This window comes from Homo sapiens, chromosome 6 (assembly GCF_000001405.40).
Source record: "Homo sapiens chromosome 6, GRCh38.p14 Primary Assembly".
NCBI classification, from domain to species: Eukaryota; Metazoa; Chordata; class Mammalia; order Primates; family Hominidae; genus Homo; species Homo sapiens.
In genome coordinates this window covers 142,814,807-142,838,834 of record NC_000006.12, presented here as the reverse complement: position 1 = coordinate 142,838,834, position 24,028 = coordinate 142,814,807, and the positions used below count along the sequence as shown (strand labels likewise).

The 24,028-nt window shown below is 38.0% G+C and overlaps 1 protein-coding gene across 14 annotated transcripts in view, besides 1 other annotated feature; it reads left to right on the top strand.

Moving 5' to 3' along the window:
* Positions 1 to 24,028, top strand: part of HIVEP2 (HIVEP zinc finger 2) — a 194,265-nt gene that overhangs the window by 106,899 nt on the left and 63,338 nt on the right. For 12 of the 14 annotated variants that reach the window (NM_001438449.1, NM_001438450.1, NM_006734.4 and 9 more), the window contains one exon: positions 1,788 to 1,900. The gene's annotated coding sequence lies outside the window, so the exon portion shown is untranslated. Of the gene's footprint in view, positions 1 to 1,787; positions 1,901 to 18,734; positions 18,803 to 24,028 lie in introns of all 14 variants that reach the window. The other 2 variants (NM_001438451.1, XM_047418715.1) reach the window with 1 other exon arrangement.
* Positions 18,660 to 19,129: an enhancer, noted in NCBI's record as "active region_25180". NCBI's record gives its function as "activates an Ori minimal core promoter by ATAC-STARR-seq in GM12878 lymphoblastoid cells {active_cell/tissue: GM12878}" and the evidence as "EXISTENCE:reporter gene assay evidence [ECO:0000049][PMID:35858748]".

Sequence of the window (24,028 nt, the reverse complement as noted above, 5' to 3'; positions counted from 1 at the left end):
TAATTTTAGAAAACAATACCCTACCTAAGAAATGAAGAGGGACTGAAAAAGACTTTTGCGTAAGTCAGTTTTACATTGTACATCGAGAAATCAATGAGAAAGGATTTTTAAGAATCTTGAAGTTTGTCCTGCATCTTGAAGGGAGTGCCCTACCTCTTTCTTGGAAAGTGACTAACAGAAAGAAAAGTTATGCTAGCTTCTGCACGAAACCATCCTGGGAAGTATTGAGAAGTGGTATTATGAAGCTAGCTACCAAATATTATTTGAGAGAGGCTTTGTAACTTTTGCATAAAATGTTAGGAAAAGTACAGAAATATTTTCGCCGCTCTAGATATTCAAATGCGAAAAATGTGTGTGTTGAATCATTTTGCAGTTCATTGTTCAGGTGATTGTGTTTGTTGATTCAGTGTAATTTTAAATAACCAAACCATTTGACATTTGTCTTGTCATGTTTATGGCAAGAACCCTGGAATAAAGATTATTTATCTCTGTTAATGAAGAAGTCTTTTGAGACCATGTCCAAATGAGTTTCCTAAATAATTGTTTCTTGAATAGCAGTAAGACTAGAATCTAGACACAGGTTTTCTTGAAAGTGAAAACATATTTCCCATGACTACATGGATTTCTAGTTAGTATGTATAGTTACTGCTATTTGTCTTCTCTATTGTTAGCAACATCTTTTGTTTTGTTCTTTTCTGGAGCAACTACCTTCTAATACTAGTGGATAACATCTGTTTCAACCTTTATTTTTTAATACTGAGATTATCAATTAATTTTGTTAATGTGGTTAGTGGGTTTGGGGGAGTGGCAGTGCATGGCCAATTTCAAATTGCACAATTAAAAAATCTTGTGCTTATGGCTTTGGAATAAGTTTTTGAACTTTCACTTGAATATGATTGTGTTTGATGTTCAGAGACTTTTTGAAATATTAGTATGTTTGAACATACTAAGTCTACCTTGGGAAGACCTAATTTGGGAGTAGCTAGAAACTGTCCAATTTTCTATTTCACTCTTCTGCTCAACCCTCTAGCATTCATTTTAGGCTCTCTCTCTAGTTAAGTTAATGCTTGCTTTCTCTCAAACTTTCTCTTAGAGCTGAGATAGTAATTTAATGTTTGAAATTCAGGAAAAGTGGTTCTACTGGCAAAGTGAATGGAATAAACCAATATTATTTATAAATAATAATTAAGCTATTTGTGAGTCCTTAGGAGAGTAAACACTTTCTGTGGAGACAAGGTGTAACATTCTCAGAATGATTTGGAAATCCATGCCAGTGAATTATCTCCAAGACTTCTTGACCATTTTTATGTTTAAATGATCTGTCTAGATATTAGTTTCTATTTCTCAACAGAGATTGCATGTAGCTAGGGCTTAATGGCTTTCAGGAACTGTCACCTACAAATTTTCATTGCATAAGTAAATTAGAAGAATCAATGAGTATAATTCCAAAGCAATAAATTGCATTTTCCCCCATCTCTAATTTTAATGTCTTAACTGACATTGTATAACCATTATTTCCACCTGCCAATAACAAACTCTTCTGTTCTCACACTTTGTTGTATTCTTTTATTGTTTTCTCTATGCTTGAACATTCATTTTACCCCAAACTGGAAAATTTAACTTAATTCCTAGACGCTTTTGTTGTTTGATAGCTTTAAGTAGCACAGTAACGTAGGAAAAGATAGTATAATATCATAATACTCTGGATTTGATTTTTGTGTTATTAATGTATAGCTCCTATAATCACGCTCCGGTTTAAATGTAGTTCTTTGTTTTTTTCTCATTAGGTGGAGCCTTTGAATTTTTTAAAAGACCATAGTAATCAGATCTACTTGAAAAATTAAGTGAATTGATTTGGTTGGAATGCTCTTTTACCGATGCTTTAACATACAGCCACTAGGTAAGTCAAGCCAAGTGCTTTCTATATGGTTTGATTTCAAAGTTATTGGAAAGATTCCTCAAGCACAATATTAAATGAGCTTTATGTGAAATTTTGACAGTAATTATTTGAGGCTCTTGAAACCTGTGATAGATGTTTTGGATATTATCTAAATGAAAATATTCATACTTTATTGCATTTCTGGAAATGTCTGATTTTAGCTGAAGATTAGAAAATGTTGTCATTTATAGTTCGAAACCAGATTATTTTATTTGATGTATTAATGATGATTTGCTTATTATAATCTTGAAGTAATGTAAAAATATCAGATTTTACTTTGAATAAGGTTTTTATATGTAGTTTTATTGCATTTTGTCAGATTCACATCTAAGATGTAATGAACATTTGAAGTAAATTAGCATCTTTCTGTATTTTAAACCATTCTCATTTTATAGAAATCATGATTTCTGTAATAAGAATAGAAATCTTAAGGAAGGACTTGATGGATTCAGCTTCCTTGTTGCACTGTGCTGCTGTGGAAAGCTCCTGAGGTTGAGAACACATTAGTTACCAGGAGGAGTTTAGGCTTTTAGCAAATTATTGGTGCTGCCAAGACAGAATTTAGTGGGAACAGGACTTTGGCTACTGTTAAAATGTCAGTATAGTAAAGCCTGCTCTGTCAAACAGATTTTTGGCATCAGAAATTTATATGATACTGATTTTAGGGCTTGGTAATTTTTTTAAAAAATCCAAGCAAACTCATACTTTAATTAACCCTTTACACAGTAAAGAAAAATTGGAAAAAAAAATTGTATTCCTAATTTAGGTCACAAGATTTGAATTTCTGAAATTCTAAATGTTATTCATGATTCTAAAATTGTACAGCTTGTTACTTAATTTTCCTCCAAATAAACTGGAGCTATTTTAAAACCTGATGACTGATAACGAACAAGAGAGGAAAGTGTCTAATCATCTGGGAAGACAGCTTCTAAACTAAACCCACTAATAGTGTCTGCTTTACCTGTGAACATCTTAAGACAAGATGATGTCAGGTGGTTTTTTAGCGATAGCGTTGTAGTTTATGTAGTGCCAACAACTGCCCTAAGCTTTGTCTAAAATAATCTCCCTTTGTCTAAAATAATCTCCACTGCCTAAGAACTTGATATGCTAGTGTAGCTTTTGAGCATCCAGTGAGTGTAGAAATATCAAGTGTGGACATTCCAGAGACCCCTTTTCATTTGGCCCGTAAGGTTCATGGTTCAGTCTTCATTTGCCACCAATAATTTTCATTGTTATGGGCACATGGTGCTGTTTGGAAAAAGTTTTGGATAATTAAAGGGATATGAGGCAGTTAGATGAAAAACCCATTAGGAAGACATATATTTAAAAGTGTGAAAAGCAAAGCCTTAATTTTTTCAATAGCTATAATAAATGTTAGAAGATGAAATTAATAATCTGAACCACTAACTTAAATGTCTTTATTTGCAACATTTAATTTTCCATCTACTCCCAAGTTTGGCTTTTACAGTTATTTCCAAAGTATCCTAAGTGTTAAGTGACATTTAAATTGGTGGTACCTAATTTAAATTATGTTCAAGCGACTGTTTTATCAGTGCCTCCTGAGAATGGACATGGCCTGGACATTGAGTGCAGATGGCCTCCTTGTGTATTGCACTGTGAGTTCTGGACTCCTCTGGTTGAGTCAGCTCATTGGGGTCACTGTGCTTTGTAACAATTGTTTTGCATTAAATAAGGATGCTGCTTAGTTCATAAGGCTCTATGAGGATTAAATACCTGGCAGGTACTAGGAGTTCACAGTAGTGGTTATGATGATGGTGATTAATAGGGGTAATAGTCATTGCAGTCACTGGTTAAATGTAACCAGAATTATATTTCATCTATCACGTGACTGATTCTTTAGCCTGTCAACATGGTCTTTACTCAAAGAGCTAGGTATATTTTCTCAATTAAATCAAATACTTCTTTTGGTAAGGAAGGACTTCATATGGAATCGGTAAGCATTTTCGTGATGCATATGGAATACATAATCAGCAACCTCTTAGTGACTTTATCAGTGAACCTGGCCCTGTGCATTAGCCCAAATGAGGGTTTTTTTTTCAATGTAACTTTTTTTACAAATAATAAATTTTAAAAATGTGCCCAACTCCTCCCACCACAAATTGGTAGTAAATAGAAAACAGTTTGCAAAGTAAGAAAGGAACATTCTCATCCACACAATATTCTTCCTTTTATGGTACTTTTTGAAAAGTTAGTACATACAAATTATTATTATTTTTTATAATAATATTGCTTTGCATGTCCTGGCATTTTCCTTCAAGCAGTGAATGTTTTTGACTGGTCTTGACATTATTCATTTTAAAGTGATATTAGCTGGAGTCTGGGCTTTTAAACACATGGGTGATCAGATTTATATGCTGTCACTACATTGGATATATTTATTTAGGAATTATGTAAGTGATATTCCTTCCTAAAAAAAGAAGGTGAAAATTATTAAGACTCTCATAAACTTGAAAATATTGGGTTAAAGAGCAGTAATTAATTTGCTGATAATTATACAATTATTACTGTTAGTAATTTCTGGAGTCAGACATCACTGAAGTCTTACTTTAAATTAGGAAGTCCAAAATACATAATTCTGTGTTCTGTGGAAATTGCTATATTTTGTGATTTCCCCAAACCTTTTCTTCATCTGTTTATCTCTCCTTTCTCTTTGATATGCCTTTATATGTTTTTTCTTATTATTACTTATACCAATTAGGAAAATGAAAAGGAAGAAAACCCTTTTAATTCATTCTATTTGGATACCTTTTAGCTGGTCTTATAACGATTTGATAAGGTTGCAAATTAGATTTGCTATCTGTTATCTCCGGGTGTACTATAACTTCTGCTATCACAGATCATTCAGAGTAGACCTTTAAGTTTCAGTATATTGTGGCCTTCAAAATGTTTCCTATTATACAGGACTTCCTTTTATATTTTTATAGCTCTTCAGATGCATACAAGTCTTCTGTTTGGTTCCTTGTATTTTGAGATAACAGAAGAGGCTATCAGTATTTATGTTTGAGTATTAATATTTACAAACTGATGTGAAAATGTGGACTCTTATGTATGCTCTACATTTCTTCTGGCCTCCTTACAAAGACTGCCCTTTGTTTTGCTATTCTAGCTTAGGTGAGTGGAGCCCAGTACTGTTAGCTTATTTGAGCTACATGGCTTCATTTTTCCAAAATTATTTTCTTATTTTTTCTTATTCACAATTTGACTCTTCCTGCTTTGTTTTTCAAGTATTTTACCTGGTTATACCTTCATTCGTTCATGCATTTAATAAGTTTTCATTCACATATTCATCATTCCATCAGTAAGTATTAACTAAACCAGTAGTATGAGCAAATCCCATTTTGTTCCACAAGCATGCTGCAGCCATCTGAAACCCTGACTGAAGGCTTCTTTCATATCATTTCATAGTATTTCCTTCTGTCTATCCTTCCTGTCTCCTTCAGTTTGCAGTATAGGATGGCTGTGTGAAGGAGCCTCTCATTTTTCACTCTCCATGCAAAACCTACACAGTGAATCTTAGTGACTGATCATATGCCTTGTTTCTATGATGGCATGAATTAATATTTGTGTAATGACTTACTCTCTGTCTGCAAATGGCTTCCATGTACATTATCTCATTTGAGGCAATAGCTATTATGTAGTTATTACTCACACTTTATTTTGTGTATAAGGGACCGGAGGCTTCATGGTGGGGGGGTTGGTTTTAGTTGAGTAATTTGCTTAAAGTCACAGCACTAGTGAGTCATAGAACCAGAATCCAACTCTGTTTCTCCCATTTTTGGCTAACATGTCAGTCACTACCAAGTCACCAGTCTAGTTAACTGGCAGTGTTCAAATGTTGGAGCGTTGTGGATGTGGCCACTATGTTCTTTTTATTATGACTGACATAAAGAAATAGAAGCCAGCCGTATCAAAATCTGGGGGCAGAGTCAAATCTTATACTTTTAGGGAATCTTGAGGTAGTCCAAGGAATAAAATGCTGTAGAAAGATGTGGACTGTAAATTTTCCAGACCTCTGTCAGTTATCACCTTCTGGAAACTGAAACCTGATGATACCAATTGTTAAGTTTACCCAATCACTTCCCTGATCTGAGAATCTCATGATTTCCAAGCAATATCCCTTGTGGATCAAGAATGGCCTCTGGAGTTCCGGTTCCCTTGGCAGTTACAGTTTTCACTATAAATCCTTTAATTGGATATTGGACAAAATCCCCCACATAGAGATCTTTATTTTATGTTTGAATCTGATATCACATTGATGTCTCACCCATGAATTGCCAAGAGAAAAATTCGCTTTCTTAATCGCATTTTCTACCTCATCTATTATTTGCATTTTGGGTTAATGCACTTTACTGACGTCGGAGTCTGGTTAATAATTTTATTGTAGTATTACTTCTCTTCATGTTTGAGCTCCTTTGCCCGCATCACCCCTTAACAATTTATACTTCTCTCATGCCACTTTTTGTATGCATTTTTGTACTTGCACTTTATAATAAAGTAATTTATGTGAAGTTTTCCTGTCATATGCCTGCACTGTAAATTGCTTGTGTCTTCTTTATTCTTAAAAATGGTGATTGAAAAAATAGTAGACATTTAATAAATATTTGTTGGGTTTAATAAAAATAATTGCTTGTGAGGTTTTTTTTGTTTGTTTTTGTTTTTTGTTTTCTGTTTTTTTTTTTTTTGAGACAGAATTTCACTCTTGTTGCCCAGGATGGAGTGCAGTGGCACAATCTCGGCTCACTGCAACCTGTGCCTCCTGGGTTCAAGCGATTCTCCTGCCTCAGCCTCCCTAGTAGCTGGTATACAGGCACCCACCACCATGCCCAGCTGATTTTTTGCATTTTTAGTAGAGATGGAGTTTCACTATGTTGGCCAGTCTGGTCTTGAACTCCTGACCTCAGGTGATCCACCCACCTTGGCCTCCCAAAATGCTGTGATTATAGGTGTGAGCCACTGCACCTGGCCAAGTTTCTGTTTTAAAATTCACTTTGGGGACTGAAAATCGATACCTGGACACAGGTTTAATTTTAATTATATTTGTGAGATGAATCTGCAAGTCTGATACCTATTAAATATCCAGAGCCAGGTCATGAATACAAATTTATGAATTTTGTAGTGCAAAAATTGCTCTTAAAGTAAAAGAGTAACAAACCCCTTCCCCACACAGCAGAACAAACCTAAAAACCCCTACAGTCCCTGACCAGGAGGTCTCATTCTCCTTGTTTTGACTATGGCAACAAAAATAATTGACCTCTGAAAAAATTTAATGAGATAAATTACATGTGGCCTCTGACTATGAGGGATTCCTGTGTAGTGTGAAGGCAAAGCACAGCTGACATTGACTGCAGGACAAAGGGGCGTGGGAAGCCCATGAAAACCTTTGAGCAGGAGAGCACTGCACTCAGAGCTGCGCTTCAGGGAGATGGGTCGGGCTGGGCCCTGTTGGATGGCGGGTGAGGTGGGGTGGGGGGCAGCAGTCACTGCAAGCATAGAAGCCACTTAGGAGGCACTTCCATGAATTCAAACAAGAGCTGTCATCTCATGTTGTGCCCTGTATGTCCTCCCACGCTTACATCACAGATGAAGGCACTGCATCGCAGACCTCAGTGGAGACTCGAATCCCAGGCTGAGGAAGTTCTTTCTGATTTCCTCCCATATCCCCCTCAGCTCCTTACTTCTCAGGTTTTGCATCATGGTGCCCTTGTGGCTGCGTTCCACTCAAATTGTTTTTCTTAGGACCCTCGACCCTTCCACGGTTCACTGCCTCTGAGAATTGTCCCTGGATCCCAGGCACGCAAGGGCATCAGGCCTGGATCTGGCCTTTGGCACTTTGCCATTTGTACCCAGAGTACTTGCTGGTCTCCTGCCTACTTTGTGTGGTGGGAGATCAGACCGGTGTGAGAGTCTGGTTGGAGGGTAGTGATAAGGATTGACAGGCACTGGCTGTATGAAGGAAAGTATGCAGGACACCAGCATAGGGGCTGCCTGATTGGGTCTAGGGTGAGCTTGTGTGGATGTGCATGCATTCTGGGGGTGGGTAGCAGGAGGAAGCGGTCAGTGATGACCCCAGGCTTTGAGCTTTGGAGTTTGAATATCACTTTTAATAGAAAACATGAGGTAAAGAGAGAAGCTGGTTTGTCTAGTAGTGTGATGAATTTGATTGTGTACCAGTTGAGTCTGATATAAATATAGATAAAAAGCATGTATTTTATAGTACTTTACTTTTCGTTTTTCATGAGGGTTTATAGTTGGAAACAGGAATTCACTGGAAGACTTCATCATCTTCCTCTTTTTGCTGTTTTTTTTCAGCTCCTTAAATATTTCCCAAGAGTTTAGGATGATTTTAGGTTTTCTTAACCTTCACCCTGCCAAAATTCCCCCACAAATTCACCTCCTCAGGAACATGTGTATGTGTCAGAGTACTCTCAGCAGCCAGAAGTGTGCCTCCCAGCCTCTTAAAATAAAAACATACAGGAAAAATAGCTATCTTTTTCTTTTGAGGAGGGTGATCATTGCCATCTCACGACTTGCTGAAATAGCACAGCAAAGAAACATTTTTTGGCAGGCTGGAACATCTAGGGAACGCGCAAACACATGCACTTCTCTTTTTCTCTGATGTGTTTCATTGATTGAGGCAGTCTAGTTCGGGGAGGCAGGGGGATTTTTAATTGAGCTTTAAAAAAAAAGTACTAGGCATTTGTATCTAAAGTTACTTTTTCAATTGGTGGTATTTCTAACAACAGAAAACCTTAGTTTCTTAAATTTGATGGTAGCAGTGAGTTGATTGGTTCCAGTGTAATCTTTCCCATCCCCATCCACTGAGGAGTTTTTGAATTTCAGAAGAGATACTCTTGATTAAATCAGTTTAAGAGTATATAATGATACTGTAATTATCATTTGTCATTACCTTGTGTACCTAATGATTAAAGCAAACATTTAATAACTATAGGGCAGTAAATACATTTTAGATCTTGAGCCATAAAAAGATTTCCATTAACAGAATGTTTTGTGCACAAATAAATTATTCATTGGCTGTAGCAGAGCTTGATTCTGTCATCATCCTTAAGTGGAAATTTTGAGGACACCAATCATCACAGATGCCAACACTCAGTTGGCTTGAGCCCCATTCTTCTTACATGGAACCTGAGCTTTTTTGGCTATTTTTAAAAGCTTTAGTTCATTTAAACTCAATGAATATTTATGGCATTTCTGCCATATGCAATGTAGTGTTTTGGTGCTGTGGAGGAATACAATGATGAGTAAGTCTGCATTTCAGCCTTCAAGTTGCTTATAAACCCTACCTAAAATAGAAATCGGACTAGTACATACCTGACTTGGATATAAGAAAACTTGTACTAGGGTCCTCAGAGATGTATAAATAAAATGTTTTGTGAAGAGAAAGAAATCGTATCAATTTTCTTATGGGTTTGCTTGGGTAGAGGGCTTGGGGAGCAGGAAGTATTTCCTGAGGACAGCTTTAAGGATGTGCAAGGTTTTGATAGGTGGCGAGAATGATATTCACCTACGTAAAGTGTTGGGATGGATAAAGTTGGGGTGATTATGGAAGGAAAAGTCATATGGTATGTTTGGAACATAACATTGGTAAGCGAAGAGGAGACATGAAAGAAGAGGAAGGGAGGAACCGAGAGACCTAGAGAGTATAGAACGTCTGGAATGTAATTAGCACATCAGTTTGGTAGGCATTAGAAAAACTTTACCCACTTTTGAGCTAAGGAATCACATGATTGGGTTATAGTTTGAAAGATTAATCTGCTCACCACAGATGGCATCACCAAGAAGAACTGGAAAACCTGGAGGGAGGCAAATTAGGAAGCTATTGGGATAGTCTCCATAAGAGGTAGTAAAGTTCTGAACTAGGATGACCATAATAGGAATATAAAGAGGGTTTGGGAGAGATACTGTAGATGAATATTCTATAGGCTTTGGCTTGGGATTGGCTATGAAAGGTGGGAAACAGGAAGCAGTTAAAGATTCAATTTAATATCTGTTGTCAACTTTTAAATCAACCAACATTTATGGAAAGCCAGCCATGTGCAAGACATTGTGCTCAGTATTGAGAGAAATAAGAATGGTCCTGTTCTCAAGTAGCTGAAAATTTAGTTGGGGATATAAAATATGTTCTCAGGCCAGGTGCAGTGGCTCACACCTGTCATCCCAGCACTTTGGGAGGCCGAGGCGGGTGGATCACGAGGTCAGGAGTTCGAGACCAGCCTGACCAACATGGTGAAACCCCATCTCTAAATACAAAAATTAGCCAAGCATGGTGGCATATGGCTGAAATCCCAGCTACTGGGGAGGCTGAGGCAGGAGAATGGCTTGAACCCAGAAGGTGGAGGTTGTAGTGAGCTGAGATCGCTCTACTGCACTCCAGCCTAAGCGAGAGCAAGACTCTGTCTTGAAAAAAAAAAATTAGCTCAACTAAAATCCAAAGCAGGCCATGATTAGTGAGATAATGAGAGTTGAGCAAAGATTATGAGAACACGAGAGAGTGGCATTAATTCTGACACTGCAAAAGTGGGGAAGTTTATTGGGGGAAAACACTTTGTCTGGGCTTTGAAGATCAGATAAAAGATTCCAAAGTACTTTAACTGTCAGAAATGTAGCTGGAAAACTAACAGAGGCAAGTCTCAAGGAAGCTAAGGGAGGAGGAGCTCGCTGACAAGAGTAGCTCTTACTTATTGAGTGCCTAGGGTATGTCAGATCTTGAGCTTAGAGCTTTATATTTAAGGGAGTGTTCAGCGTATCATGCCGCAAAGTCATCACCAATGTTGTGATCTAAGAAAGGACCAATGGATTTGGCAATTTAAGAATGCTGTGTGAATTTGAAGAGGTTTCAGTATAGAAATATAGCTGAAAACACAGCAAACACAGGATGAAAACATTCTAAAGGTTATTACTTATCTTGAGTACATAAGTACACCAGTGAGGAAAAGCCTGCACTGTTTCTGTGACTTCTCCTTAATGGGCAAAGTTTATATAAGCCTCAGAAGATCTTTATGCTTGGGTTGGTCTTAGAGGTGTCATTTGAGAATGTGCTAGTCCTGTGAAGTCTTTGCACACTTTAAAATACTGCAAAAATGTTAGGCTCCCAGATTATTTTCTTGCAATTAAAAGATCTCCACACTTACTACCAGCTTTCCTCCTCCTCCCTGCTACCTCCTTCCTCCTTCCCACTCCTTCCCTTTGGGCACCAGCTGATAATGGTGAGCACACTTGCCACACCCTTGGCTTAGGGTCAGGGAAGTCCTCGGGCTCTCCTTGGCTCTTTTCCCATCTGGAGGGAGATTTCCATGGAGAACAATCCAGGGAAGTGCGTGCACGTGCGTGCGCGCACACAGACACATACACCAGTTCTTTTCCTGTCCTCAAGGATATTTATGTGCCAGTACATAGACAAAACACACAGTCATATGCAGGCGTACTTTGTCACACCCAGCCTGAGGAAACACAGGGCAGGGGTGCAATATGCTAGCAGGAGGTGATAGGGATACTATTAATAATTGAAACTTTAGGAATAATAATAGAGCTTGTTAAAGAAAAATTCAGAAATTGCTTTGTTAAGATGAACAGCCTATTATTATAAAATGTAAAGGGGTGAAATTTATATCATGGTTATGTTTAGTTGGTTTTTGTTTTTTCAAGCAATTATATAGCCAACCGGGCTTGATAAAAGAACTTTCACAGAGGTACCCATATTATTACAAAGGGGTATTTTAAATTGTATCAAACCATCCTATAATTTAACAGGAATAACAAGAGAGAAATTAACAGGAGTAGTAGAATGGAAGAAGAAGCAATTGCTCCTAAACCCCACAAAGGCACAAAAGTACATGAGTATGGAGAGTGAGCGTGTTTACAATCATTCATTCACTCATTCATCCATTCACTTGATCACTCAATCCACAAACGTTTGCTGAATTCCTGTTTTATCCCAGGCCGGCAGCTGACAGATATAGCTGAGCAGAGAAAACAGGCAAAATTTTAGATAAAATACATCCTTCTTATAGGAAACTAGCCAATATAAGTCAGCTCTCCTGTTTTATGAGTAGACAGCTTGTTTGAAATTACATTTATGAGGTGAGTATTATATACTAATGTTTCTACCCCACAAAGCTATTCCCTGCCATTTAGAACCCTAAAATGTGCTCAGCCTGCTAGAATACAACAATCTAGCTGTCAGGTTCATGGTAGTAGAAATTCTCAGAGCTTCTGAAAAAATTGCCATGCATTCTTATCAGGCTTTACCTATTACAACATTGGGATTCCTTTTCCTTGAGAATTGAAGTGGTAAAATGTTTTATTAGACTGATTTTCTCCTTTTCTATGGGAAGACCTGGGATAGATAGGGTTAGTATGTTTGTTCATCTGTACATGTAAATATCCTCAGGGAATTCCCCAAAATATGGGGACATCTTCCACCTTTGGAAGCACTAGCAAGATATTTCAACCAGTGATCATGGTCGGAATTGTGAGGGACCATTGAGACTGGGGAGACCTAAGCCAATCTCTTAGGTCACAGTAAACCTGAGTGTAGTGATATGTCCCTTCCCAGGTAATAATTTATCCTTTATTAAAGGACAAGCTTGGTTTAAGAGTCTTGATGTAAGTTTTTATTCTTAAGCTATTTAAACATACACATAGCGGAAATTTCTCCTAAACCAAGAATTATGTAATAAGATATATTTTATTTTAACGAGCTTAGATACTTTTCAGATATTGAAAATAAATTTCTAAATCAGATATATGATATTTGTGTTTTCTGAAGAAACATGATTGGTCTGTTTAGCGTGGAAGATCTGTTCACTTAGGATTTTACTTAGAATATAGAAGCAAACTAGTGGATGAAGATAATTAATTCATTTATTTGAAGATATTTATTGCTTTATTTTAAATTTATTAAATTATAATCATTTATTATTTTTATTTTACATATGCCCTTTTTATGTGCATATGTTTGAAGCATGTTGAAAGTCTGCTGAAAAAATTAAAACAATTTTATTTTAAGGTTGGCACCTTAAATTAATTAATTAAATTCATTATTGGCACTTTAATTATTCTTTAGAACAGATGCAATTAGTTAACATTTTCTGGAGAACACATTTTTAAATCTTTTTAACTCACGATAGCATTTTTAGTCACACTCTCTGAGATGCCTTAGAGAATTAAGTTTGGAAATGTTCTGTACAATTTCTGTAATGTCTATTAAAATCAGATATGTTTGACCTTACACATTTTTATAATAATGTATAAAATATAAGAATGATTCTTGATAGCTTAATGATTTCTAAGTTTTATTTTCTAATATTATCAAAACCTTAATAAGAGATTTCTAAATTGAATAATATCAATATCATGGCAACAATGTGAGTGGTTAGCTGTGGTGGGAGGGCTCAGTGATTAACTGGAAAGGTCATTGGTTGAAACATCAGGAAACTGAGGTTCTTGCTCTGAATTTCATAGAATAGCTTGCAGAGCTTGGGCAAGCAACTCAACCCTTCACTGTTTCACCACTCAGCCTCGTGCTTTTGGGGGTATGTGATGTGTGTGTGTGTGTGTGTGTGTGTGTAATTGGACTTTAGTATGTGTCTGCAAAACCTCTAAAATTATTTCTCTATTTAAAACATGAAAATCAAGACCCCATAGAGATCTTTAAACAAATACTGATATGGATTACTGTGGGAGTCAGTCCCTTAATCCAGATGTCTAGGAAATATCCTTCCTCTAAGCTTCTAAGTGTGAAGGGCAGGCTCCATGGAAAATGTTCATTGTGCTCATGTAAATTGTTAGGAAGAAAAAAACTTGCTACAAGATTTGTCCAATAAGTTTAAGAAATGGATCATGAGCAAAAATGTGAAAAGGCACTTTCTGAATCTTCCTTCATTCTCTCTGGCCTCTGTGGCCATTCTTCCTCCTACTTGACCTGAATTTTAGTGTCGGGTAGGGAAATGCCTTCTACCAGCTCCAGAGGTGTGAACTATAAATGTATGGACTTTATTGGTTTCAAATTGCAGAACCACCCCTCCCTCACCCCTAAGATGTGTTATCACTCACTGGTATTCAGCTATGGTTTTGTAGCTGGCTGAGATGGGGCAGAAGATTTCCAAGTTGGTCAATTAAGGGTGTAACTGTTGCCTCCCTAGCCTCTGGGACTGGATCTGAGCCATTGTGTTACACGGCTACGAGGTATTAGGCATAAACTTTGTGAGATTCTGAAGAAGAGTGGAAGCAAAAAACCTGATGGAACTGCTTTGGTGACAGTCTTGAAGGAGAATTGGTTATAAGCCAAGCTTGATTTGGACCTTACGAACACACAGCTGGGGAGGGTCATTGCTGCCAGTATTTATGGGGCCTCTGGGGCAAGAGTTCAAATGGAGGCCCACAAAGATTCTTCATTTGGTCAGTGATAAAATCTTTATTTGCACAGAACATGAAGTTGCAGGGATTTCATCTGACCAGTTCACGTTGTGGATTTGACTAGAATAATTTTCTGGCTCATTTTTATTGTTTTGAACAGTAATTAAATCTTTATTAAATAAATAATTTCTAATGTCCTGTTAGTGAATTTTATATGGGTCATGCTTGACAAGTCTGCTTACTTTCATTATTTGCAGCTTTAAAATTTAAACAGACTGACTCTTTTCAGATTTTCTACTGCTTCTTAAAAATCTCTGCTTTTTAAGTTTTTGAACTCCAAAAAAGCAATTATATATACTAAGGTGTCAACATGTACTAATTCTCGGGACCTAAAGGATTTAAGCATGTAATGTAATTGTATTCAACATATACAAAATATTAGTATATTTTCATCATATATGTAAATTAGAATAAGTATAAAAATGTTTTAAATTAAGCTATTTAAAAAAAGGATTTTTCTTACAAAATATCCAAAATCACATGTTAAAACTGAAAGGTAAATAAATCTATATTAAAATGAATGAATAAAACATTTAAAATTCAAAATTATTTAAATGCTGCTGAAGCTTTTTAATATTTTTTTGAAATTGAATTAAATCCTCAGCTGTTTTTACAGAAGCAAAACTATTCACAAGTTTGTTTTTAGTGTCCATTTTAGTTGCTAATGTAAAGAATTGGCATCATGCTTCATACAGGTTACATCTTTACAAATTTAAGAATAAGAATTGTTTAATTGCGAAACACTCTTCAAGTGCCATGTGCAATTGTTCCAAATGCTGCTCTAATTATTAACGATTCTAGAACCACTGATCAGAGCACGAAGAGAAACCAGGAAAGGGATGCTTGGCATGGTTACACTTGTTATGCGAGAATCTGTTGCGTCCACACCATCTGAGAGAAATGACTCTTAAGTCTTTTCTTTTACCTAAGCATTAATGCTGCTTGAATCTTCTCTGCTTTGGAAATGATGTCTAACTCCACACTGCAATGTCACAATCCACGAACCTTCAGGGCATTCCAACTCAGTCACTCTTTGACTGGTGCAAAGAGATTGGGCAAGAGAAGCATTTCCCTCGGGGCTTAAACCGTTGTCGCGGGGTTTAGGGTTACAGGACATCTGGATGCCTATGATAAAGGTGCTGTGGATTTTTCAGTGAATTTATTTGTGCTTGTTTGTGATATGCAGGCTTTCTAAAGTGTGGGACCCATGACAAGGACCCCTCTTTCCTGGAAGTATGGACTCTGCTGTCTGTGGGGGCAACTGGGCATTAGGATTCTTACTGAGGGCGCCATCTGCAGAGGCGGCAGAGGGGTTCCTTCCTGAGGACGCTAGGGGGAGCTGGTGCAGGAAAGAAGCCATGGCAGATGGTGTTGTGACTGGCTGTCAGACTGCCTGTGGGCTCTTGTAAGTCTCCCTTGCTGGAATCCTAGATATACTTAGTTGGGACTTTTTAAGGGGACTGGAGGTCCTGTGTGAGCAGGTGGGGCTGGAACAGGAGCTGTGGTTAATTGGTGTTAATGTCACTTCTTATGTATTTGCCTGTAGGCTGGTAGGGCTTGATAGTGTTTGGGTAACTCATTTCCAAGTCAATAAGTGTTCCTTCCCTCACTTGGAGAGGGATGAGGAAAGACACTTCTATCCTGTAAATCTGTTTTTCTCCACACAGTTGGAAAGAATAGGAATTGCTTTATTTCTCTTTGTGAATCTTCTCTGTGGAGGGAGCCAGGGACACAATGCAATCATTGATCTGAGATAATGGAATTATAAAGGGATTTATTATTTACCTAGGCTGGGGCTCTTAACCACAAATGGACAGAATTCAGAAAATTTGGTTGAGAAAAAAACTGTTTCATTAATCTCTAACTGAAGTTTAGCACTTCCTTCATTATTCATGTAAGCAACAAATGACAGTAGTTTCAGCAGTGTCAGTGATGTTGTCACCAATAGAAATCACAGACAGTTTCATATCACATTACCATTGTGATTCATATCTCAAAGTGTCTTTATGATTATGACTACTCCGAATTATGGTGAATATTAGACCTGCACTATATCTTGTTTTTAATTATTAATAAAGAATTATGTATATTACTATCAACAAGTTTGCTTTGAAAGTTATTTTGAGATACCTATATTCATGGTAATTGGTTTCCTTTGTAATCCAGTGTAGTTTAAAACATTCTGCTAAGAATGAGCCCACAGGCTTCATCAGACTGCCAAGGAGGTCATGGCAGCCAAAAGACTCAAAAGGTCTGATGTAGACGAAATCCTGTGTTTTACTGCAGATTAAGGCTTTAGAGTGTGAGAGTTACTTAAGGTCATATGGTGGAGCCGGAATTAAAAGTAGCGTCTTTCCTGCACTGTGTGGCCTCCTGGCACCTCAACCCTGGTCTTAGTGCCAAGGGAATGAGTGCCTTTGGCTTCTTTGATGAGTACTTTGATTATGACGAAGTCCAAGCCAGCTTCTGTCTTTGTTTGCACTTTGCTGGTCTGTGGTGGCTTTCTCCCCACCCCTGCTTTCCAGGCCTGGAGGTGGTGGTGAGGTGTGGTCATCTCCAGCCATGCCTGCCTCTATGTCCCATGGCATCACAAGGCATGCTGTCCTGTGACAGCTAGGGGATAGTCAACAGAAACAATAGAATATTTAGCCTTGATTGCTTGACCTAGTTTTGGTGGTGGTGTTTCAAGCAATGTGAGTATTATCAGGGGAAATCTTTCAGCCAACCCAGTGGGCTTTGTTAAATTAATTTAGGAACTCGTGTCACATTATTTCCTCCTCACTATTAGGCTAATAGATACCTGAAATATCAACAGAAAAATATACAGTTAACAGCTAGCATTTAGAGTTCACTTCCTCGTGCCATTTTTAAATGCTGTATAATTCTGTTAACAATATTATTTGTATCCCCATTTTCTGGATGAAAAGACTGAGGCACGGAGAGGTTAGGTAACTTGCCTGAATATTTGTATGTCTGGCAAGTGGCAGAGATGGGACTGAAAGCAAGTATTCTGGCTCCATGGTCCATGATCTGGGCCACTATGCTACATGTCCAGTTATTACTTTAATGCTTTAAGCCATAGTTGTCCAATCTGTCTTTCTTTGGTTCGGGGTTAGACTACGAATGAGTGTATCTGGGATGAAGAGCCTTTGGATTTTTTTTTTTTTTAAATGTAGTCCTAGGAGGAACTCTTCCCAGTCTGCTGGAGCTGTCTCTGAAAGGTACTATGTCATTTGGTTCAAAGTCTGTTCGGCTTTAATCCCTTGCTTGTATATATTCAGGCAATATGGGGAAGGAAAAATATGTTCATACCCAAAAAGTTTAGTAATGCTGCAAAATGCTAGATTTGGATTGACTCTGGCTCCATTTCAAGGACATGACAGTGCCTTGATCTTTGCTTTTGAAGCCTTCTTGTCAGCAACATTGGCAAGTACACCTTTGAAAATTTATATCTGAATTCTTGTGTTTTGAAAAAAAAAATGTTTGTTAGTGTTTCTCTTCTTGAACACTGGTTGATGCTTTGCCAACTAGTTAAAAGTCTGCAAATCTGAGTGCTGGCTGAGAAGCTAAGCTTGCTATAACTAGTTATCCCCAGATGGCCAGATTCTGTTATGTACCACTTTTATAGATGCTCAGTGGTTGCCTACATGGGGTTATGAGGTGTACTGTTCCACTTGTTTTTGCCAGGCATGCACAGTACATTATTTGATAGGCTGGGACAGATGGTATAGCTCAAATGAAAATGATGAGGGAGAAAAGAAAGTGAAAAAAAAATAGAAAAAGGGCATTTGATTTTCTAATTCACATTTCGGAAGTGAATTTTAGCGTCTGTGATTGACTAATAAATGCAGTGTTGCTGTAAGACTTGAATTCATGAACGTCTGTTTAAACAGCTATAACTGAGTAATCAGCAGGAAGCAACCTTTTCCTTCGTGGATGCTGTCCCAAACTTCATGGGGTCTCCTCCAGATCTGAAAATGTTTGGGCCATTGAAAGACATCAAAAATAGATCTGGATATTTCAGAGTATGATATACCACCACCAATACCAACCAAAACAGAAAAATCCCAATTATATTTTTAAACTGGAAGAGAGGGAGGGGAGGTGGTGAGGATACAGAGAGAGAGAGAGAGAGAGAGAGAAGAGAGAGCGAGCCTGGTAAAGTAGTGGTGATAAGGACAATTAATCAGTCTTCGTACAGCTGCTTCCTGACATTTCTGCAAATTGTTGTGGAAAAATTAATGAAGGTTAGATCAGTAATAGTTTCAAGCTTGGCCAGTGGAAAGTATGACAATGTTTCCATCAGCAATTAAATCGGGCTGCTTTCTTTTTTCTATAGGGGAAGTGGTATGATGTATGTTCCCCACAGGAAATGGAAAACGGCAGCTGAACTGTGTGTGAGCCCAGGTATGGAGGAGCATTTGGGAGTGCTCCAGCCGCCTCTCCTTGATTAGCACCACAGATTTGCATTTTTCTGCTGAAAGGATTTTGCTATACAACACGCCGAAATCCTTCCTTTAACAGAGAGTGAGAATCTTGGGATTTTATTGCACGGACATGGATGTACTGTGGATCTAAGCTTTGGGAGCCAGAAAGTGGAACTTATGACAAACAGAAAGTGAAACTCACCTATCTAATTTTATTTTTCAAGCTGAAGGTAGTTCAGTACAGGCCCTGTTCACATCCTGTGTAACCCTATGGGATTTTCCCCAGTATTAGTTAAAAATTTTCCCATAGGGTCACACAGGATGTGAATTAAAGTAAACACTTAACAAGCATGATGAAAAGGAAATTAGCTTTCTAAATGGTCCTTTCACTGTTAACATCCTGAATAGTTATTAGAAACATGGGAAAGGGTCACTTCGGTGTCTCCTTATCAAGTTGTTACCTTATAGTAGAATATATGAATCTTCTTCCCTGTTATATATGAAATGGATTTCCTTGTATGTGAAACTTAAATTTACAAAAGTATTTTTCCTTTTGGAAAACATTAAAAAGCTTAGCAGAAGTTTGTAGATTCTTGCTTCATAGCCTTTTCTGGGGTAGAGGTTTATAAACCCCTTTAAGATTCATAAAAGCTCCTGACTCTTTTCCCCAGGAAAATGCACATAGACACAACATTTTGCAACATTTTTGAAGTTTTGCATATCTCTTACATAGACCTTGAACCCCAAGCATTTTTCTTTTTTTCCCCTTTTTTCTTTTTTTAAAATTTGAGACAGGGTCTCACTCTGTTGCCCAGCCTGAAGAGCAGTGGAGTGATCATAGCTCATTGCATCCTGGGCTCAAGCAACCCTCCTGCCTCAGCCTCCCAAGTGGCTGGGACTACAGGTGCACACCACCATGCCCAGCTAATTTTTTCCTTCCTTCCTTCCCTCCTTCCCGCCCTCCCTCCCTCTCTCCCTTCTTCCCTGCCTCCCTTCTTTCCCTCCCTCCCTCCCTCCTTTCCTTTCTTCTGTCCTTCCTTCCTGACAGGTTCTTGCTATATTTCCCTGGCTGATCTTGAACTCCTGGCTTTAAGCAGTCCTCCTGTCTCGGCTGCCCAAAGTGTTGGGATTACAGGCTTGACCCACCTTGCCTGGTTCCTGGGCATTTTTTAATGGACTGGGTTTTAAAAGCTTTTTTTTTCTTTTCTTTTTCTTTTCTTTTTCTTTCTTTCTTTCTTTCTTTCTTTCTTTCTTTCTTTCTTTCTTTCTTTCTTTCTTTTCTTTCTTTCTTTTCTTTCTTTCTTTCTTTCTTTCTTTCTTGTCTCTCTCTCTTTCTTTTTTTTTTTGACAGAGTTTTACTCTGTCCCCCAGGCTAGAATGCAGTTGTGCAATCTTGACTCACTGCATCCTCCACCTCCTGGGTTCAAGAGATTCCCAGGCCTCACCCACCCAAGTAGCTGGGATTACAGGCATATGCCACCACGCCTGGCTAATTTTTTGTGGAGACGAAGCTTCATAATGTTGCCCAGGCTAGTCTTGAACTCCTGACCTCAAGTGATCCACCCGCTTTGGCCTCCCAAAGTGCTGGGATTACAGGCGTGAGCCACCGTGCCCGGCTTTAAAAGCGTTGTATGGGCAGATAGAAACTTACAGCTACAACCATAAACTGTTAATCATTATAAGTAAATATTTCGTAAGAGGTAATTTTTAGGAAACTTTAAGTGCAATAAAGATTATTTCACTTTTCCACCTAAAGAAGGCTTCCTTGCCTTTAGAAGGGAGCTTGTACATTGGACAAAACATACAAAGCTGTGTTTGAAGCTGGCTGTGTGGCATTCTAGCAGGTGACTTTAGTTGTCCTGCCTCAGATTCACCATGTCTAAAATGGTGGCAACAATGAGGTAATTTGTCACCTGTGTCTGGCAAATAATACATGCTTCATACACATCCCTTCCTTCCTCCTTTGAGATTTAGTTTATTTTTATTTTACTTGTTTTTTTTTTTTTTGAGACAGAGTCTCACTCTGTTGACCAGGCTGGAGTGCAGTGGCGTGATCTTGGCTCACTGCAACCTCCGCCTCCCAGGTTCAAGTGATTCTCCTGCCTCAGCCTCCCGGGTAGCTGGGATTACAGGCATGTGCCACCAGGCCCAGCTAATTTTTGTATTTTTAGTAGAGATGTTGGCCAGGCTGGTCTTGAACTCCTGACCTCAGGCTATCCCCCTGCTTCAGCCTCCCAAAGCGTTGGGAATTGCAGGTGTGAGCCATCCTACCCAGCCAAGATCTACTTTAAGTGTCACTTTCTTGCGCATCATTTTACAATTCTTCAAGGCAGATTCTTATCTTCACTTCCTACTTGGTGTTCTTCCGTTGCCTTGTCAATTTCTTTACTCTTAAAAATTGTGCTGTCATTCATTATTTACATCTCAGAGTGTGAACTTTGAGGATCTTGTACTTATTAGTAATGTTATATTTATCTCCATGCAAGTTGTGTCCAGCATAGTACATAAGACACATGGGCATTTCCTGCTTATTAAATTAGTAATAATAGTCCAATGCTTATTTGAAATGAAATAACTTAGATTTGGCATTGTGATTGTCACTTCATGGTGTATATGTGACTGCTGGTCGTCTCCAAATGAGATCAAATGATCAGCATACAGCCAAAGTGAAATTTAGTGAGAGAACAGAGCCTAGAACTGAAAGTGTGTTTTTTCTAGCATTGGCTACAACCATAGAGTATTCTAAGCTGGAGCCACAGTATTTTAGCCAGAGCTTTCAGTCAGGTTAATTACCAAGTAATTTTTTAAGAAGGTACTATTACATTTCTAAAATATATAGACCTAATCTCTGAGACTCAGAGAAGAAAATTTGGGCCCTCCAACCTTAGTTTGTATTTTAGTCTTTAGAATCCAGGATCAAAGGATAGCTTGAAGAACATACCTATCTGCCTTATTTTGTATTGTTTCTTAAGTCCTCTCATGCCCTTGCTAATACAGTTCAAGTCGAGTTGAACAAAAGTGTGTCCTGTCCTCAAGGAGCTGTCATTCTTCAACACCCACTCCTCCCCACTTTGAGAGAGAGAGATAGCGTGTTTGTGTGTATATGTATATGTACACACACACACACACACACACACACCCTCTGGTGCTATTACAAACATTTTTATAGGGAACTTAAATAAAAATTCATATAGAACCAGAATCTATCTTAGTATTTGAACAACTCATTGGCAGTAAACTCAGTTCCTTCTGTACAGGATTAATGGTTTCCAAGCTGTAAATTATGATTTAGAGCCTTGTGCATTAAGATTGACTTTGAGCCAGGGGAGGCTTGGAAGAGGACAATGTATAGTTTGCTTTAGGAGGTCTTGGAGCACATTTGTGTGGGGAAAACAGCAGTGAGTTAGAGTGAAGAACGAGAAATGCCAGACGCAGGGGATGGTATCTGGTAGTCTATGTGTCCTGTTGTGCAGAGTGCTAGGAAATCCAAAGCGACTTCAGAAGTAGAACTGTGGATTCTTAGCGGTGCTAATAGTGTGAGTTGAGTGATGAGGAGGTGGTCGTAGTTGAAATAGGATAGGATAACAGAGCTCGTGACCATGAGAAGTAGACAAAGAGATGAATTAAGGAAATATAAGGAAGGAAAAAATATATTCTGGAAATGGGCTGAACTGGGGGCAAAGAACAGTAGGGTTGAAGATTTTGCTAAATAAATCATTGGCTGTGAACTCTTGGCTCTCGTGAGATGCATGACCATTCCCTTGCTCAGGCATTTCCACCTCCTGGAAAGCCTTGTCTTTGCCTGTCAGAATATTCAAGCCCTAATTTAACTTCTACCAGCTGCATAAATATTTGTTTCATGACATTAGCTCATAGCAATCTCTTTTTTACTGCACTCATGTACTACTATTATAAATGTAGTAGCACTTAATTGATGTTTAGAGCTATAATTTAAATTTTCACCTGCATGCTTTGTGTCTCCAATAAGGTTCCAAATTTGTATAGAATTGGGTAGTGTAAAAAAAAATCCTCTCTATTGTCCAATACAAAGTTATGTGTATAGCAAGAACTTGGTATGTTATCAAGAGTTTTAAAGGATATTGAGTTTCTATTATGTCCCCAAAACTTTACCAGATGGCACAAAAGAAGGGAATTATAAGACGCAGTTCTTATTCTTAAAGTACAGATAATCAAGTTGGATATTTTGTGCAGAAGACTAGCAATTTGTGATTCAAGAAAGACTCTTGTGGAGTCATCTAAATTATCTAGAATTAAACAAGACCATGCATGTGAAACGCTTAGCACAATGCCTGACAGATAATGAGTACTCCATAATCACTTAAGAGGATCACAGTTATCATTATTAATATTAATGTAATAAGTTGACTAGGCTTCCTGAGCCACCATGCCCAGCTTGAAATTCATAAAGATTAATCTATGTTAGAAATGTCAAGTTCTTTACCTTTTGTTTTAATGGAATCTGGTTTTAACATCTCAGTCTCCCTGGAATTATTCATGTAAAAGGCCTCAATGATCTATCAATTGGCAATTTCAGTAGACATTTAAAATTTTCTCATTTAATGTGACTTTTCTATTGTGTTTGAACTTTCTCCTCCTTGAAATATTCTACTCCCTTGGATTTCTTGACTCCAATTGCCCCTGGTTTCTCTGCTACTTGCCCGATTACTCCTCAGTCTCCATCATTGATTCTGTCCCCCAATCAGCCTTATTAAATGTTGCAGTGCGGTGTTCTGTCAGAGGGCTTTGCTGTAGTTTGAATGTGTCCCCCCCAAAGAGCAAGTATTGGAAACTTAATCCCCAGTGCAACAGTGTTGAGACCTAAGGAGAGGTGATTAGGCCACGCCTTCATGAATGGATTAATGCTGTTATTGAGAAAGTGGGTTTGTTATCTTGGGAGTGAGCTCCTTATAAAAGGATTAGTTAGCCCCCTTTGTCCCTCTCTTGTGCGGTCTCTTGTCTGTCTTTGCCCTTCCACCATGGGCTGTTGCAGCAAGAAGGCCATGGCTTGATCTTAGACTTCCTAGTTTCCAGAACCATGAGCAAAAAATTTCTGCTTGTTATAAATTACCCAGTCTGTGGTATTCTGTTATAGTAGAACAAAATGAACTAAGCAAGACTTTCTCATTTCCCTTGTTACTCCATATACTTTGCAAAGACTGAGTGTTTTATCTACTTTGATTTCTTT